We start from the raw sequence: 17,848 nt of genomic DNA, 5'->3' as shown, positions 1-17,848 counted from the left end.
AGGTGCACCTGCTCACACACCTCGCAAGAACACTTAACTATAGGCCATAGGAAAACTTTAATTCATAGAAATATAGATACGTATTATAAAGATTCCATGTGTTGATTACATGTAGACAATAACATGCCCATAAATCACGTCTCCATTTTGAAGTGACCTAGCAGCACTGCTCAAGATCATCAACCGACAGAGTCTTCCTTGTCCTTGGTACCTTATCCACAGGCCTCTGATCTGCTCCATGACTTACGCATCCTACTCTTCACATCTTCTGAAAATGTTTTGCTGATGGTCCCCTGGAGCTCATGCTCAATTGTCCTTTGTCTGTGAATGTTGTTTCCTCACTTTCCTAAAGTTAGGCAGGAGCAAAAAGCACTTTAATCTTAGGCTAGAAAATAACTAAATGCCTACTACCTCATTTTTTCTTCTCTTTGCATCCCAAAACCAGACAGACAGAAACCCAGCCTACAGATTATGTGTTCTTTTCTTTGTTTCTTTTCTTTTAAGTTTGTTGTTCAAACCCAATGTCACTGCTCCCACTTGCAATCTGCCCAGCACTATTTTACCAGAAAATTCCTTACGTGTAGATTGATAAAGACATTGTGGCCGGGCGCGGTGGCTCACGCCTGTAATCCCAGCACTTTGGGTGGCCGAGGCAGGCGGATCACCTGAGATTGGGAGTTCGAGACCAGCCTGACCAACATGGAGAACCCCCGTCTCTACTAAAAATACAAAATTAGCCAGGGTTGGTGACACATGCCTGTAGTCCCAGCTACTCAGGAGGCTGAGGCAGGAGAATCGCTTGAACCCGGGAGGCAGAGGTTGCAGTGAGCCAAGATCACGCCATTGCACCGGAGCCTGGGCGACAGAGCGAAACTCTGTCTCAAAAAAAAGAAGACATTGTGCTATTCTCCCCAATAAATTCCTGTTATTCTAACAAGGGCTTTCTTGAAATACATACCTTGAAACATGGAGGAGTGTCACTAATGGTGGAAATTAGATATCACTTCCAGATAATGGGGGGATGTTAGCTATCAGTTCCAGATAATAGGGGGATGTTAGCTATCACTTCCAGATAATGGGGGGGATGTTAGATATCACTTCCAGATAATGGGTGGATGTTAGATATCACTTCCAGATAATGGGGTGACGTTAGATAACACTTCCAGATAATGGGGGATGTTAGATATTCACTTCCAGATAATGGGATGTTAGCTATCACTTCCAGATAATGGGGGGATGTTAGCTATCACTTCCAGATAATGGGGGGATGTTAGATATCACTTCCAGATAATGGGGGGATGTTAGATATCACTCCAGATAATGGGGGGGATGTTAGATAACACTTCCAGATAATGGGGAGATGTTAGATATTCACTTCCGGATAATGGGGGATGTCAGATAACACTTCCAGATAATGGGGGATGTTAGATATCACTTCCGGATAATGGGGGGATGTTAGATATCACTTCCAGATAATGGGCAGATGTTAGCCATCACTTCCAGATAATGGGGTGATGTTAGATAACACTTCCAGATAATGGGGGGATGTTAGATATTCACTTCTGGATAATGGGGGGATGTTAGCTATCACTTCCAGATAATGGGGGGATGTTAGATATCACTTCCAGATAATGGGGGGATGTTAGCTATCACTTCCAGATAATGGGGGGAAGTTAGATATTCACTTCCAGATAATGGGGGGATGTTAGCTATCACTTCCAGATAATGGGGGAAAGTTAGATATTCACTTCCAGATAATGGGTGGATGTTAGATATCACTTTCAGATAATGGTGGGGATTTTAGATATCACTTCCAGATAATGGAGGGATGTTAGATATCACTTCCAGAAAACGACCCCTCCAGTGAGGCTGCATCTAACCCTCCCCTGCCCAGCATCTAGCCATGGCTCCCTCTGAACCTTCACCTACAGAATTCTCCTGAATGGGAAATTTCTTGACACCTATTATAAAGATTCCACGTGTTGCATTACATGTAGACAAGAACATTCCCATAAATCACATCTCCATTTTTAAGTGACCTAGCAGCATTCTCTCTCTCTCTCTTATGTCCATAATATTTATTAAAGATAGCAACCATAGGCCGGGCGGGGTGGCTCACGCCTGTAATCCCAGCACTTTGGGATGCCAAGGTGGGCGGATCACGAGGTCAGGAGATCGAGACCATCCTGGCTAACACGGTAAAACCCCATCTCTACTAAAAATATAAAAAATTAGCCGGCGTGGTGGCGGGCGCCTGTAGTCCTAGCTACTCGGGAGGCTGAGGCAGGAGAATGGCGTGAACCTGGGAGGCGGGGCTTGCAGTGAGCCGAGACTGTGCCACCGCACTCCAGCCTGGGCGACAGAGCGAGTCTCTGTCTCAAAAAAAAAAAAAAAAAAAAAGATGGCAACCATATTCCTCTGTAACATCACATAATCATTTTGGTTGCTGTTGTGGTTTAAAATCCACTTTTATAACAATCCTTTAAACTAATATATAAATATTACCAATATATAAATATATAATATAAATAATATGATATAATATAACAATATCAAAGAGAGAGAGAGACGTCCCTCTGTATCCATGTGGAATTGGTTCCAGGACCTCCTGCTAATATCAAAATCCGTGGATGCTCAAGACCCTGATATAAAATGGCATAGTATTTGCATATAACCTATGCACATCCCCTTGTATATTTTAAATCATCCTTAAATTACTTATAATACCTAATACAATGTGAATGCTACGTAAATAGTTCTTATACTGCGTTGTTTAGGGAATACTGACCAAAAAGGTCTATAGATATTCAGTAAGGATGAATTCTTTTTTTTACAAACTGACATTATTAGCAAAGAAAATAAACTTTTTACACCAAAAAAGAGTATTTTTCACCACACAAATAAAAGATGGTATATATATGTGTGTGTATATATGGTATGTATATGTGTATATACACACACCATATATATACCAAATATATGCACCATAGATATACCAAATACATATATACACACACGCTATATATATGCACCATATAGATACACCATATATATTTATATTTATATTTATATATATATACATATATATATATGGTGAGGATATACAAATCCTTCCATATAAGGCTAGTCAGTAAATCTCAACAATTAAAAAGGTCATTTTCAATGGCCGATTAATCACAGAACAATTTAAAAACTATATAAAATTAAACCTACACACATATTAGAAATACAGTCCAATTCACTTATATACCCAACACACTTTAAAGTGGACACAGAAAAATGTTATTTACTGGCTTTAAAAAATATGTATTAAACTCATGTACTATTGTTTAAAGAGTACCCACAAAATTCTCACTTCAATGTTTCTTTGTAAAAGAAGTGGAAATCTATAATCCAAAGACCCTTTTCAAAAATGAGCTACTGATAAATGCAATGGATTTATAACTTCTGTAACATTTCATTCATGTTGTGAATTTTCTTGAGCATTATATTATAATTAACTTGCAGATGCAATTTTTAAAAAATATTTTTATCCTTGGTTGGTTGAATCCATGGATGCAGAACCCGTGGATATGGAGGGCCAACTGTATTTTTTTCACTACAGAATATGAACCTGTTAAATTTAATCGCTATTTGAGGCAGAGAGATACCTTCACACCTTCAAATCACACTGTGCAGGTGGCCACCTGACTTACCTATATGCTCAAGCACTACATAGAAAGTGCTTCTACTGAGAAGGCAACATAATGAATTCTAATATGAAAATGCACAGCCACTTAATTATAATAGTCATATTTATATTCGCCATATACCCTAAGAAAACTGACACAATAGAAATATAAACTGACATATTCCAGGGCCCCACACACGCTGGTCTTTGTATATTGTCAGTTTCACGGGAACAGCAGAAATGGATGAATAATGTAAAACTTTGCCATATTTTTTAAGAGCATGACGTAGAAGGATCGCGTAGTGCTTGTGTCTCTCGTGTCCAGTTAGGAAAACAAAACCAATTCTAAGCATTCCAAACACATTGGATTTGAACATTGGTTTTAAACGTCACAAAAAGCCAGGCAGGAACAACAAGGGGATGAGGCTCCCCAAAGACTGGTACCTGAGGAACTGCTGTTCGTAACTGCTGTTCGTAACTTCAGGATGCCACAACCACCCCATGAGCCAAAAACAACCCCAAAGAGCAATGGTGTAGCCCCAAGTCCACGCAGCTGTGGGCTGAGGAGGCTGGAGTCCTTCTTTAGCCACTGCCGGATGCAGTGAGCACTGCCACTGCCACTGCACAGGAAGCCAGGAGCTCACACTCCTGATACAGCAAGAGCCAGGGCCCAGGAGTACTGGTGGTTACAAAGCTGTCAGAGCAGCTGCTGCTGCTGCTGCCATTGGAACTGTGCCACCTTAGAGGGAACCCGGGCTTGCATCCACTTGTCACTGTGGTTACTGCTGCCAAGGGCACCACCAGGAAAAACAATGACTAAAAATATGGATTTGCTCTTTCTCCCACCTTCCCATTTCTTGCCAGTGCCTCCCATTATCAAAATCTTATTAAATACCAGTCAGAAGGCAGTGTGGAAAATGTAGCTTGCAGATATCCAGTCCCCTGTGATACAGAAAAGAGCACAGAATGGGGGTGCGCACCGACAGACAAATCACTGACCTGGCGCTGTGGGTGTGGAGCTCTGTAAGTAGACAGCTCTGTAAGAAGCCTGCCTGGACACAGGTCCCTCTCCCCAGATTCCAGCTCATCTCACTACCAGATGCTCTTTCTATTTCTGTGCTCCTTACTCTTCCCTCTCTCTCCTCTCTCTCTCTTTTTGCTACCATTCCCTATCCCTGAATCCACCTAGATTTCCACTCTTTTTTTTTTGAGACAGAGTCACTCTGTCGCCCAGGCTGGAGTGCAGTGGCACTATCTCGGCTCATTGCAAGCTCTGCCTCCCGGGTTCAAGCAATTCTCCTGCCTCAGCCTCCCGAGTGTAACTGGGATTACAGGTGCCCGCCACCAGGCCCGGCTAATTTTTTGTATTTTCAGTAGAGATGGTGTTTCACCGTGTTAGCCAGGATGGTCTCAATCTCCTGACCTCGTGATCCGCCCGCCTCAGCCTCCCAAAGTGCTGGGATTACAGGCGTGAGCCACCGTGCCAGGCTGGATTTCCACTCTTGTTCAGGAACTATGTCAACCACTCTAAGACACCTGGAGGGCCCAATGGTCACTTGCCACATTTTCTCTTACTCCATTGTCAGGAAAGTATGTGGATCCTCATAGAAACTGTAGGTTTTTTACTTTATCCGGTTGGTTCCCTCACAAGAAATCCACCTTATTATAGTAAGAAAACTGGAATTGGAGATCAAAGACTGGCTCTAGTATCATATCCACTGATCATGTGTAATATTAACTTGGGAAAATCTTTTCATATTTTGAGCATCAGTTTCTTTATGTGTAAGATCAAGGAGTTGACTGAGATCTAAATTTTTTTCCCACTCAATGTTATGAGGGTTTGTAAAATTCAGTTGTTTAAAATACCTGATTACTGTCTCATTAATTTTAAAAAAACTTTTCACAACTAAGTCTATAATGAGGTATTGCTCCTCACCCTTGAGGGCATTAGCTGCGGGGGTCTGCCCATGGACCCTGACCCAAACGACAGGCGAATAAAACGTACACTGACACAGATATTCTGCTTTGCCAGTCCTGCTGAGTGTCCGACCGCCTGCACACCAAGAGTGGTTTGTCACTGTGGCTGGCCCTGAGCAGCTCGCACTCCAGGCATTTATTTGGTATACAATTAACAACAGAAGCTCTGAGTCAACACACTTGTGGATAATTAACATGGTTAAGAGAGTAGTTCTAGGAATGATTAAAGCTCAGGTACCAAGGTCTAAGGTAAATACCATTAGGGGACAATATCCCTAGTCAACCTCCCCACAAGTGGGCCATCTGGCTCAAAGGTTAGTTATTGGAGGTAGGGTAAACAGACTTAAGTGGGGAAGCCTCTGTTGTCCCTAGTATTTACCCTAAGACCTAATGCTCTAAGGTAAGAACCGGCTGCCTCAGCCTGTTCAATTATTACAAGCTATGTAAACTTTCAGCCTTCCAAAAGGTTTGTGACTATTCCCTATAACTTTCCCTAGTATTTCCCTTTAATATTTCTGCCACCATCTGAGTGAATCCCAACACTACAACATATAAGAAGAAAAAAAAACAGAGACCGAGGCCAAGAATAAAAACTATAAACCCATCATATGATCAAATACATTTTTAGAGTCCAAACCATGGTGCAGAATATCCTGAGTTTCCTCATGTTCTCTCTCGCTCCACTGAAAGTCTACTGTTACGGCCACAGAGGACCCGTCTCTCTGGGCTCCCACATTCTTTCCTCCCTACCTTACAGTTCCTAAGTCTCTTTGGCCTTTTACCCTTACCATAAGATTTCACGTTTTTCTTTTTCTGTCCATCTCAGAAGGGTTGTCCTTCAGTTTCACCTGGGCTTCCCCTTGGAAGGCCTAGTGAATGGTCTCAGGTGATTGTGTCCGGAGGATAAGGGGAGTATGACAGCCACCTGCCCTTTCTTTTAGGGCTTACAGGAACACATCTACCAAGCAAGGGACTTCTTGCCAATGTGGAACATACCTTATAGCACAACCTCAGGGCATTATTATTTCTCTGGCTCTTTCCTCATCTTTTCAAAAACTTTATGTATTAGCTTACATTTCTATGACTCATGATGCGAAAGAACAGGTCATGTTAGAAGAGGAAAAGGGTGAGAAGAAATTCTGACCTACCTCAGTACACAAGGTGAATAGGATTAACTACATCATAAATTGTAAAAGTAAGAACAATAGACGTCGAAAGTTTTCTTTCTAAATGCATAGCACAAGTAAGGGGCTGGGAGAACAAATGTAGCTTCCTTAACTCTGTGGCCTGGAAGCCGCACGTTTCAGCACACATGCTTATGTCATTCTTTTCTCTTGATGGTAAATGAATGCTTCAATAAAATATATAACTCAAGGGAGTTGAGAAAAGGAAATTAAGACTGTTAGAAAAGGACATTAATATTTACTGGTAACACTGAAATCAGAATTATATATTAAAATGAAGTTTCTAAACTAGTTTCCATATTTGACTAGAACAAAAACAGCTTCTTTGCAAGACAATACCACACATTTCCAGAGCTCGTCCAGGATTCGTAACAGCTGCATGTTTTGTTGTTTAGAATCAGTATTTTGGTCACTGCGTAAATCAATACTTTAAAAAATTGTTTCTATTAAGCAACATAATAAAACAAATGCTCATTTTTTTTTGCATATCCAAAGGCCTTGAGGAATTTTAAGCAAAAATAGAAGGAAGGAAAATTATAATAAACAATGGCAATATGTTCATTTCACATATTTTGAGGTCCACCTGTTTAAATGTTTCTAAAGCCATTAAACACATCTGTTATTTTTTTCCCTTAGATAAACAAATTATATGAAAAAGTAAATATACGGTTTCTAAAGCCAGTTCAGATGGGATTTTGGGGCACTTTACCTCCCTGTGTGCTTCATTTTCATCCTCTATAAGAATAGGTTTCTCTCATTTACCTCTCTGAGTCCTGTGAAGTGTTCTTGGTCCATGTAATGCAAGGACAAGGCACAGAGCCATCCCCCAGTTGATAATGGGCGTGATCATTAGAGCGGGAGCAGCAGGTGGGGGTGGTTCTCCGTGCGGGCATTCATGCATATTTCCTCTTTTCATATCTTCAGTCTTGTGGAGTCTCAACAGGCTGCAGCTTCTCTCACTAGAATATTCAAAAGAGCATTTAAAATTAGGAGATGGTCTCTAACGTGCCTTGTAGCTCTAATATTCTGGGAATCTTTGAGGCTGTATCCTATACATTGTTATTTTTGTTTTATTTCTATATAACTATTACCTGCCTTCTACCTGTAAAGATATTCCACAATCAGGAACACATCGCTTTTTTAGGTATAAAGCAAGACTCCTGAATGGCATTCTTGCATTAGCATTTATAAGCGTCACCTTGATACTAATCGCGTTAAACTTCTGTGGGGAACGTTCTATTTAATATCACTGTATCATCTACATGGGACTCTGTTCTATGGGCAGCTTCTCTTCTGAAGAAGACATTGCAGAGCAGTTCTCATTATTTCACTTTGTCCCTCCCCTCAAGAAAGAAGACCTGGCCCGGCATAGTGGCTCACGCCTATAATCCTAGCATTTTGGGAGGCCATGGCAGGCGGATTACTTGAGGCCAGGAGTTCAAAACCAGCCTGGCCAACATGATGAAACCCCGCTCTGCTAAAAATACAAAAGAAATTAGCCGGGCATGGCGGCGGGCACCTGTAATCCCAGCTACTTAGGAGGCCGAGGCAGGAGAATCACTTGAACCCAGGAGGCGGAAGTTGCAGTGAGCCGAGATGGCGCCACTGCACTCCAGCCTGGACAACAGAGGGAGATTACGTCTCAAAAAAAAAAAAAAAGACCTACTCTAACCAGCATTAGTGAGAAATGGGTATTTTACCGAATATATCTTAAAGAAACATGAATGATAGCGAATGATAGAAGGGTACAACACTAATAACACAGCAATTCACCTCCCTTCAAAAATAAAACTACCCTTTAGATATTATATCGGTCTGGACCCTCTGAGAAGCTGATATAAGCACAGGATTACACATGCAAGGATGTTATTAAGAAAACTACTGCAAAAGGAAAACGGTGAAGGAGCCAGAGGGGTCTGCGAGAAAACATCTTAGGCTGCTTTCCAGTCTATGGAAGGTTCAGCAAAGCTACTGGAAGTCCACGAGTCAACCTCAGGCATCAGAGGAGCTCATGGCTCCCAGGACAGGCATCCCTGCTTCCAATTCAGTCATTGGCTGGAGAGCAGCCCATGGGAATGTGGTTACAGCACAAGTGCACGATGGATTTTAGCTCAGTGGCCAGGCTCTTGGTCACTAACTCCTCTGTCAGTGGAGATCTGCAGGGTGTAGTCTCTTGGCCAAATCTCTCTTCCCAAACTCTGTTCTGGTATCCACTGCAAATTCCACCCACTGTCCCACTGAACTGCCCTTTAGTCTAGTATTTCAAACATCACACACTCAAGAATTCTCCCTTCAGAGCTTTTCTGTTTTCTTTTCTTTTCTTTTCTTTTTCTTTCTTTCTTTCTTTTTTTTTTTTTTTTTTTTTTTTTTGACAGAGTCTCGCTCTATCACCCAGGCTGGAGTGCAGTGGCACCATCTCAGCTCACGGCAACTTCTGCCTCCCGGGTTCAAGTGATTCTCCTGCCTCAGCCTCCCGAGTAGCTGGGATTGCAGGTGCCCGCCACCACGCCCAGCTAATTTTTGTATTTTTAGTAGAGATGGGGTTTCACCATGTTGGTCAGTCTGGTCTCGAACTCCTGACCTCACTATCTGCCCGCCTCGACCTCCCAAAGTGCTAGGATTACATGCATGAGCCACTGCGCCCAGACCCCTTCAGAGCTTTTCTACACCTCTTCCTTTCTCTTGTCTCTTCTACAGGCTTATCCAAAGTTGCATCATCCATCATTATTCTCGGGCATATTAAAGCCGTGACTTTGCTTGCCCTCAGGAAATTAAACATCTGTCAGTCACCAGGAGTCACAATCCACAGAAGACAGTGAGTAGGAGGATGCCACAGAACCCATCGTGTTTCCTGCCGTATTAAAGCAGGGCTGTGCTGTCATCAGCCTGCGATGTGCCATTTATTATGCAGCACCCCATCATCTGGCTTCTGTCTCAACCAACATACTGAAACTGCTTCATAAAGTCATCAGTGTATTTTTAATTGCCAAGTTGATTGGACATTTCACAGCCATTATTCCTGACTTTTATAAGCATTTGACATGACTGATCATTCATTTCTTGAAATTCTGTTTTTTCCAGACGGCCGTGATAAACACTCTGAACATTGTTCTTGCGCTTTCACGGCTATCCCATTTCTTTTTTTTCTAATGCCTTTTGTTCCTCCCCATTCCTTGAGTATGGGTGTTCCCCAGACCTGTTGCTTCAGTCGTGTGGTCTAAATACATACTTTCCCTAGGAACTGTATTCTCTAATGTAGAAGAATAATGTTCCTTTACTTATGTATGTTGTATTGATCAAGCTTTTAGTATGACAACATATACTATATTAAGTTCTGAGGATAATATCACAGGGAAAAATCTCTGGCTTTAAGGAATATATTGTCCAATGGGAGAAACATAAAAGCAAGCAAGCAATTACAAGGCAATGAACTACTGTGATGATGGGGATGTACAGGGTTCAGGGCACACACAGGAGGATAGCTAACTTACACTTGGGAAATTAGAGAAGATTCTCATAGGAAAAAAATCACCAATGTGTCATCATAATAATAACAGAAGCAGTAGGGCATTCCAAGCCAAGACAGCACTGTGCTTGAGGAGCTGTAATTCAGCTACATAGTTCAGTAGATCAGCTATTGAATCAAGGACAATAGGAGAGGTTGGGTCACACAGATGCTGAACAATCAACCTACTGGGATGAAGGACATTGTGTGCACCACTGCAGCCTTTGGTTCTCACGCCGACAGCCCTGAGGATTCACAGACTTCAAAGAAGAGCATGACTTAATGTTTCAGAAGGTTTTTGGAAGCTCACTCCATACAAAAGAAGGATTAGAAGTAGGATATACAGTTAGCAATCAGCACCCACGGGCTCTGCATCCATGGGTTCAACCACGTGCAGATTGAAAAGGCAGTTAGGCCTATGATCATTGCATCTCTACTGAAAAATGTACAGACTTGATGTTATTCCCCAAACGATACAGTAAAACAACTGTTTCCATAGCATTTACATCACGTTAGGTATTATAGGCAGTCTAGAGATGGTTTAAGTACACGGAGTATGTGTGTCAGTGACATGCAAACAAGACACCGTTTTGTATAAGGGACTTGAGCATCTGTGGATTTTGGTAAAAAAATTCATGGGGTTCCTGGAAGCAATCCCTAGCAGATACCAAGGGATGACTGAATTTGAGATAAGAACAATATCTAAGAACTCTCCAGCTCAGTTTGATAAAATATTACTTAAGCCTACTATGTACCAAGCACTTTAAAGTGCTGAGTGTTAAAGGCTTGCTTAAGAGTAATGTGTATAGTAAAATCCCATTAAATCAAAGCCAAACATCAAAGAAAAACAAAAAAGAACTCTAATGTTCTTTTAAGTATGTGTGTAACCTATGTTTATACATGTAGTATTATTCTGGAGTAAACTACTGTAACTGGGCTGGGTGTGGTGGCTCGGGCCCATAATCCTGGCACGTTGGGAGGCCAGGGCGGGTGGATCACGAAGTCAAGAGATCGAGACCATCCTGGCCAACATGGTGAAACCTGGTCTCTACTAAAAACACAAAAATTATCTGTGTGTGGTGGTGCACGCCTGTAGTCCCAGCTACTCGGGAGGCTGAGGCAGGAGAATCGCTTGAACCTGGGAGGTGGAGGTTGCAGTGAGCTGAGATTGTGCTGTTGCACTCCAGCCTGGGTGACAGAGTGAGACTCCATCTCAAAAAAAAAAACTGCGTAACTCAGTTACCCAAACCAAAAATGCTTCACTCTTTAGTTTCCTCTTCCTCATATCCAGTTATCCCATCTGTTCCAATTCTAAAGGAGCCCTTGTATACGCTTATTTTTCTATCTGCATTGCCACCGTCCCAATCTACACCACCACCACCTCTTGCCTAACCTCTGCCATTAGTGTCTTAACTTGCTCTTGGGTTTCTATGCTTCTTCCCCTATGAGCTCTTCTCCACCTGGCAGACAGAATAATCTTCATGTGAGTGAGTCCGACTGTATCATTCCGCACCTGAAATCCTCCAATGACTTCTCACTGCATTTAAGATGAAGTGAAACTCTGTCCCACGCCCTATAAGGCCTCATGTAATCTGACCCTGCACACTTCTTTACTCTCTTCTTATGCTGTTCTGCTCCACCCACTTCTCCAACTATATGCACTCAATGATTCAGCAGTTTTTAGAATAGGCTGTGATATTCTCACATATTTCTATCTATAAGATACATACTTTTCACCGCCTCCACCGTTCCACCCTGATCCATAACACCACCATTTCGTGACTGGCTACTCAATTTCTTATCTGGGCTTCCTGCTTCTGTTTTTCCGTACAGCAGCCAAAGTGACTCTGTCAAAATGTAAACCAAATTATGTTGCTCTCCTGCTAAAATCCTTCAATAGCATCTCATCACATTTAAAATAAAATTCAATACCCTGACCCTAATTAACCAAACCTCACATACCTAACTGGCTCCTCCCTAGCCTCCGCTTCCTCCTGTGGCCCCCATTCCACCTCGCCACAGCCACCTGGACTCCCCACTGTTCTTCCAACATAGCAATGCACCTAAGATCCCCACTGCTCCCCTGCCAGGAGCCCTCTGTCCCGAGACATCTTTGGGGCTCTTGCCTTCATGTCAATTTTCTATTCAAATAGCATCTCCTTAAAAAGACCTTCCCTGGCCACTCCCACATCCTTACACTTCCCCTAGTCACTACCTTTTTTTAAAAAAAAAGAACTTTATTGAGGCTGGGCGTGGTGGCTCTCGCCTGTAATCTCAGCACTTTGGGAGGCTGTGGCGGGCAGATCACTTGAGGACAGGAGATCAAGACCAGCTTGGCCAACATGGTAAAATCCCATCTCTACTAAAAATACAAAAATTAGCCAAGCGCAGTAACGCACACCTGTAGTACCAGCTACTTGGGAGGCGGAGGCAGGAGAATTGCTTGAACCAGGGAGGCAGAGGTTGCAGTGGGCCGAGATCATGCCACTGCACTCCAGCCTGGGCAACAGAGCAAGACACTGTCTCAAAAAGAAAAATAAAAAATAAAAAGACCTTTATTGAGATATAATTTACATATCATAAAATTCATCTAATTTTCAATTCAATGATTTTAGTATGATTCAGTGATTTTAGTAAACTTGCTTAGTCTGCAACCATCACCATAATCCAGTTTTAGAACATTTCCATCTTTCCAGTAAGTTCCCTCAGGCCAGTCAGCAGTGAATCCCCATTCCCTCTCTCAGCCCTGGGTAAATGAAACTGACCCAGTGGTCTCATAGATATTTTCTGATAAATATAGGAATTGACCCTTCTAATCTTAAAGCTTGAAACTTATATTTGTTTAATCTGAGTTCCTCCCTCAGAAAATGACCATCAGGTCTCTCAAAAAAAAGTATCAAACAACTGAAACTCACCAGATCATCACATCCAGACAATGAGATGCCAGACCCCTCATTCACCGTGATGGCTTCCTTGCGTCTCCCTAGTTCCTGTTTTCTTACACACAGTTGCATTTTTTTTCCCTGTTATATAAACTCCTGGTTTTAGCAGGTCAGGGAGGTGGATTTGAGAGTGAGTTTCCATCTCCTCAGCTGCAGCACCTGATTAAAGATTCTTCCTTGGCAATACTCGTCGTCTCAATCATTGGCTTTCTGTGCAGCGAGTAGCAGGACCTTGACCGAACCCCTGGTGTTTCGGTAACATAAACACTAATCTACCTTCTTTTTCCATAGATTTGCCTTTTCTAAACATCCCGTATGAACAGAATGGTTAAAATATGTGGTCTTTGAAACCTGTCTTCTTGATATATTATACTTAAAATAATGCGTTCAACTAATTCTATTGAACATTCACTCTATGCCATATATATAGTAATATTACATATATATAATCCCATGCTCTAGTGAGGAGAATAGAGTGAACAAATCATCATACAAACAATGTCAAATTTCATGGAAGTTTCATGATGCTCTGGGAGCATGGCTGGGAGTGGGGAAGGCTTGCCTGTGGAGCAGTATTTGACTGTGACTGAAGAATAGCAGTTAGCTAGGCAAAGGGCAAGTGTTTCAGATAGAGGGGTCAGGACATGCCTAATAATAGAAGGGAGTGTGTTTAACACGACTGCTGGAGAAAGTACTTGGCTGGAGCTCTGAGAGGGAAAGAAGGACGGTGGAGACAAGGCTTTCCCATCACTTTCTATCCCTGTATGTATGTTATTTCACTATTCTCTCAAAAGTTATCACTAGCTGACATTGCAGTGTGTATATACTGTTTGCATCCTTCATTACAACATAAACTTATTGAGAGTATAAACTTCGATTTGTTTTATTACTATTATTCCAATATTTAGAAGAGGGTTTGACATAATAAGCATTCAATAAATACTTGTTGAATGAAAAAATCGAATAAGAGATTGGGGAGCCCTAATAATTAACACATTAAGAATGCAGACATTTGTTAATTAGAATAAATTAAGTAGCTTCTGAGAGCCGTCTTACGCAACATCTTAATACAGCTAAGCTATGTTCAGATGAGAGGAATTCGGTGAAATAATGAATTTGGGGGGGAAATACTAGCAGATTTACTTTTTAACTAATAATAGACTGGAAATATTTAAAGTATAATGAACTACTTAACATTGTTATATGTTAATAACTTCTTTAAATTGATCAATGATTTTTATTAGTGATATCTTTTGAATACTAATTTCATTCTTTTTTGACCTCATAGATTAATTTCATAAATGCAATCAGCTGAATGTAACTTAATAAAGATGTGGCTTCCAACATTTAAATGTTGTCAGGAAGAAAAACAATGACTTTCTTAGTTATTTTCATAAAACAAGATGACTTTCTGTGGAGTAATTCTCATAAGAGAGTAAGTACAGGGTGAATAAAATATGCTAGAAACATGTATCTATTTCAAAAGTATATTTAAATAGGATTTTTTTAATAATAAGCCACATTTTAGGTCCATGGATTTCAATACACTTTTTCTTTAGAAAAAAAATCAAATTTTTATGACTTCATTTAGTTTTAATAAAAATATTTTATTTAATAAAATTATATTGTATAAGGTCATTCATACTATATTGATGATTGCTCCAATTATGAAACCTAGCCAAATTTAGACAGGTTTCAAATAAATCAGTGCTTTTAAAAAAGTAAGCCCCAATTGTACATTGTGTTATAAACTGAAAGTCTTATGTTATGGAAACAAAGATGTTACTTCTCAAAAACAATGTAATTATCATTTCAAGGTGGCAAGTCAATCTAGAAATCAGATTCCATTGAGATGCTGTAAAAGTTCTGTTTATCACAAAATAAGTCAACAGATTCAAAATCGTCTCTAAACAACAGATCGATAAAAATGCCTAAAAATATCATTTAATTTATTCCAAAGTATTTCCTGAGGACATTCTTTTCAGGAAAGGCTGCTTGCTTTAGGATTCCAAACAAACGAAGCCCAGAAGCTTCCCGGAAAGCCCTGAAGGTGCTCCTGGAAGAATGTGCTCTCTGCAGCTGTGTAAACAATGATGTTGACGCAGAATTGGAAATGCCCATTTTTGAAAGGGACCTGCAACCAACCATTTGAAACCAGCACGTTGCCTGATATTCCCACTAAATGTCTAATCAGTAAATGTTAGTAAGAAAAATATTTTCCTCCAAAGGACAAGTTAGAGCTTTGTATAGTGTCAGTAGTTAAAAGTTTTTCTGTATAACCACAAATCATATCGTCCCCAACTATCAAATCTACTTTTACCCCTTAGGGTCATTCAGGAAGAAAAATAAGCTCACCTTGGGGACGGACTAGTCACTGGAGGTAAAGAAGAGAATGGAATCTAGGGTGGCTCTTAGACTTACAGCTTGTATTTATATGAGACTGCGCATGGTAAATAAGGTTTTAAGTGGCATGTGTTATAGTTGTCAAATTTGTAGAAACATACACATTGATGCATTATAATTATTCTGCCTTTAAACAAAGTGCTTAATACCACATTTAAATTGCAAATGTTGACTTCAATCGAATCTCCTGATGTTAATAAAATATTAGAAACTCTATCAAATATAATTCTTATGATTATGATAATACAGTTTTTTAGAGGCCAAATTTTCTTCAGTTCCAAGAATCCTACAGCACGTGTATGAGGAATATTTCTATCTTAATAGATACCTTTGTGTCCAGCAGTAGAAAAGTATCCACATGCCACTTTGCAGTAAGTATAAAATAAAAATATAAAGATGCAAACACTTCACACAATGCAATGTCCTTCCTTGATTTTTTGTGAAGAAAACTATACATGTGTTTGTGGACTAGCTGTGTATATAATCAGGTCCTAATATTAACAGAAAACAAAAGAACTGAGGTGCAAACAGGGAAAAGGGAAAACAGACAATGCAAGAAAAAGTTGAGGATGACAGAAGCAGGGAAGGCTGTCCAAAGTGACACAAAAGTGATAGCATGGCTCAGTGAGAATGCTGAGAACTTCAGACTTTAAAAACAGAGAAAGCCTCTTCTGGAAGTATACAACTTGAGTATCTCTGAGAGTGTGTGGGTGAATGTGTTTGTGTGTCATGATAGTGAATGAGGAGAGTTCACACACAAAAATTTGAAATTAATTGTTCCTAAAGTATGTATTAGCCTGCTATTGCTGCCATAATAAATTAACACAACACCTATTTATTATCTCATAGGTTCCATGAGTTGGAAGTCTGAGTACAGCATGGCTTGACTGGGTTCTCTATATAGGGGCACACAAGGTGCAAGTCAAGCTGTCAGCTGGCCTGGGCTCTTCTTTGGAGCCTCTGAGGGAGAACCTGCTTCCAGGCTCATTTAGATTGTTGGCAGAATTCAGCTCCATGTTGCTACAGGAGTGAGTGTTCTCATGATTTTGCCAGCTATTGGCTCAGCTTTTGAAGGCACCCATATTCTGTGGCTTTTGGCCCCCTTTATCTTAAATGCCAGTAATGACATCTCCAACCTTTTCACTTATAATCTCTGATTTTCTCTTCTACCCTCCTCTTCCGACGTTTAAAGAGCTCATGAGATTAGATCCAGCTCACCTGCATAATCTAGGTTAATCTCCCTATCTTAAAGTCAACTGAGGAGTAACATTAATTACATCTGCAAAGCCTGTTTGCCATGTAACATAACAGGATGTAACGCTAGGTGGCTGAGATCACGACGACCAAAGTTCTGCCTACCACAAGGTAGCAATACAATATGTTAAAGATAAATCAGCATGTTGGTCAAAGGATGCAAAATGCCATCTAGACAGTAGGGACAGGTCTAAGAGATCTATTGTACCCCATGGTGATATACTTTAAAATTGCTGAAAGAGTAGGCTTTAAGTGGTCTCACCACAGATAAAAAAATAAGTATGTGTTTAGCTAGATTTATCCATTTCACAATATATATGTATTTCAAAACCTCATGTTAGGCCAGGTGCAGCGGTTCACATCTGTAATCCCAGGGCTTTTGGGAGGCCAAGGCAGGAGGATTGCTGAGCCCAGGAGTTTGAGACCAGCCTGGGAAATATAGGGAGACTTCTATAAGAGGGCTCTACAAATAAATAAATAATTCAGGCACGGTGGTGCATGCCTGGATGGCCCCAGCTACTTGGAAGGTTGAGACAGGAGAATCGCTTAAGCCCAGCAAGCAGAGGCTGCAGTGAGCGGAGATCATGCCACTGCACTCCAGCCTCATTGACAGAGCAAGACTCTGTCTCAAAATAAAAAAAAAAAAAAGGAAAAACCACACACTGTGTTGAATGCCATAAATGATACAATTATTTGTCAATTGCAGTAAATAAAGCACATATGTATTAAAAAAAGGCAAATCAACAGTGCAAGAGAAGTGACTAAGAAGGGACACAAACATAGAGGCAAGGTAGGACAGTGAATAAGAAAGGGAAAAAGCAAGACTGACCTGGACTCAAGTGCTGCCTGGGCCACTTATTATCCATGGGACTCTGAGCAAGTTATGCAACTTCTGTGAGACAGTTTTCTCATG

General features: G+C 40.8%; 1 long non-coding RNA gene across 2 annotated transcripts in view; it reads left to right on the top strand.

Annotated features, from left to right (window-relative positions):
• The window catches only part of LOC105377609 (uncharacterized), a 38,280-nt gene extending 22,385 nt beyond the window's left edge, over positions 1 to 15,895 (top strand). For both annotated transcript variants that reach the window (XR_001741960.2, XR_939621.3), the window contains exon 4: positions 9,529 to 15,895. This is a non-coding gene — a long non-coding RNA (uncharacterized LOC105377609). The remainder of the gene's footprint in view (positions 1 to 9,528) is intronic.
• The last annotated feature ends 1,953 nt before the right edge of the window (positions 15,896 to 17,848 follow it).

This window comes from Homo sapiens, chromosome 4, assembly GCF_000001405.40.
Source record: "Homo sapiens chromosome 4, GRCh38.p14 Primary Assembly".
In the NCBI taxonomy this organism is placed as follows: Eukaryota; Metazoa; Chordata; class Mammalia; order Primates; family Hominidae; genus Homo; species Homo sapiens.
This window is presented reverse-complemented; position numbering and strand designations above follow the sequence as displayed.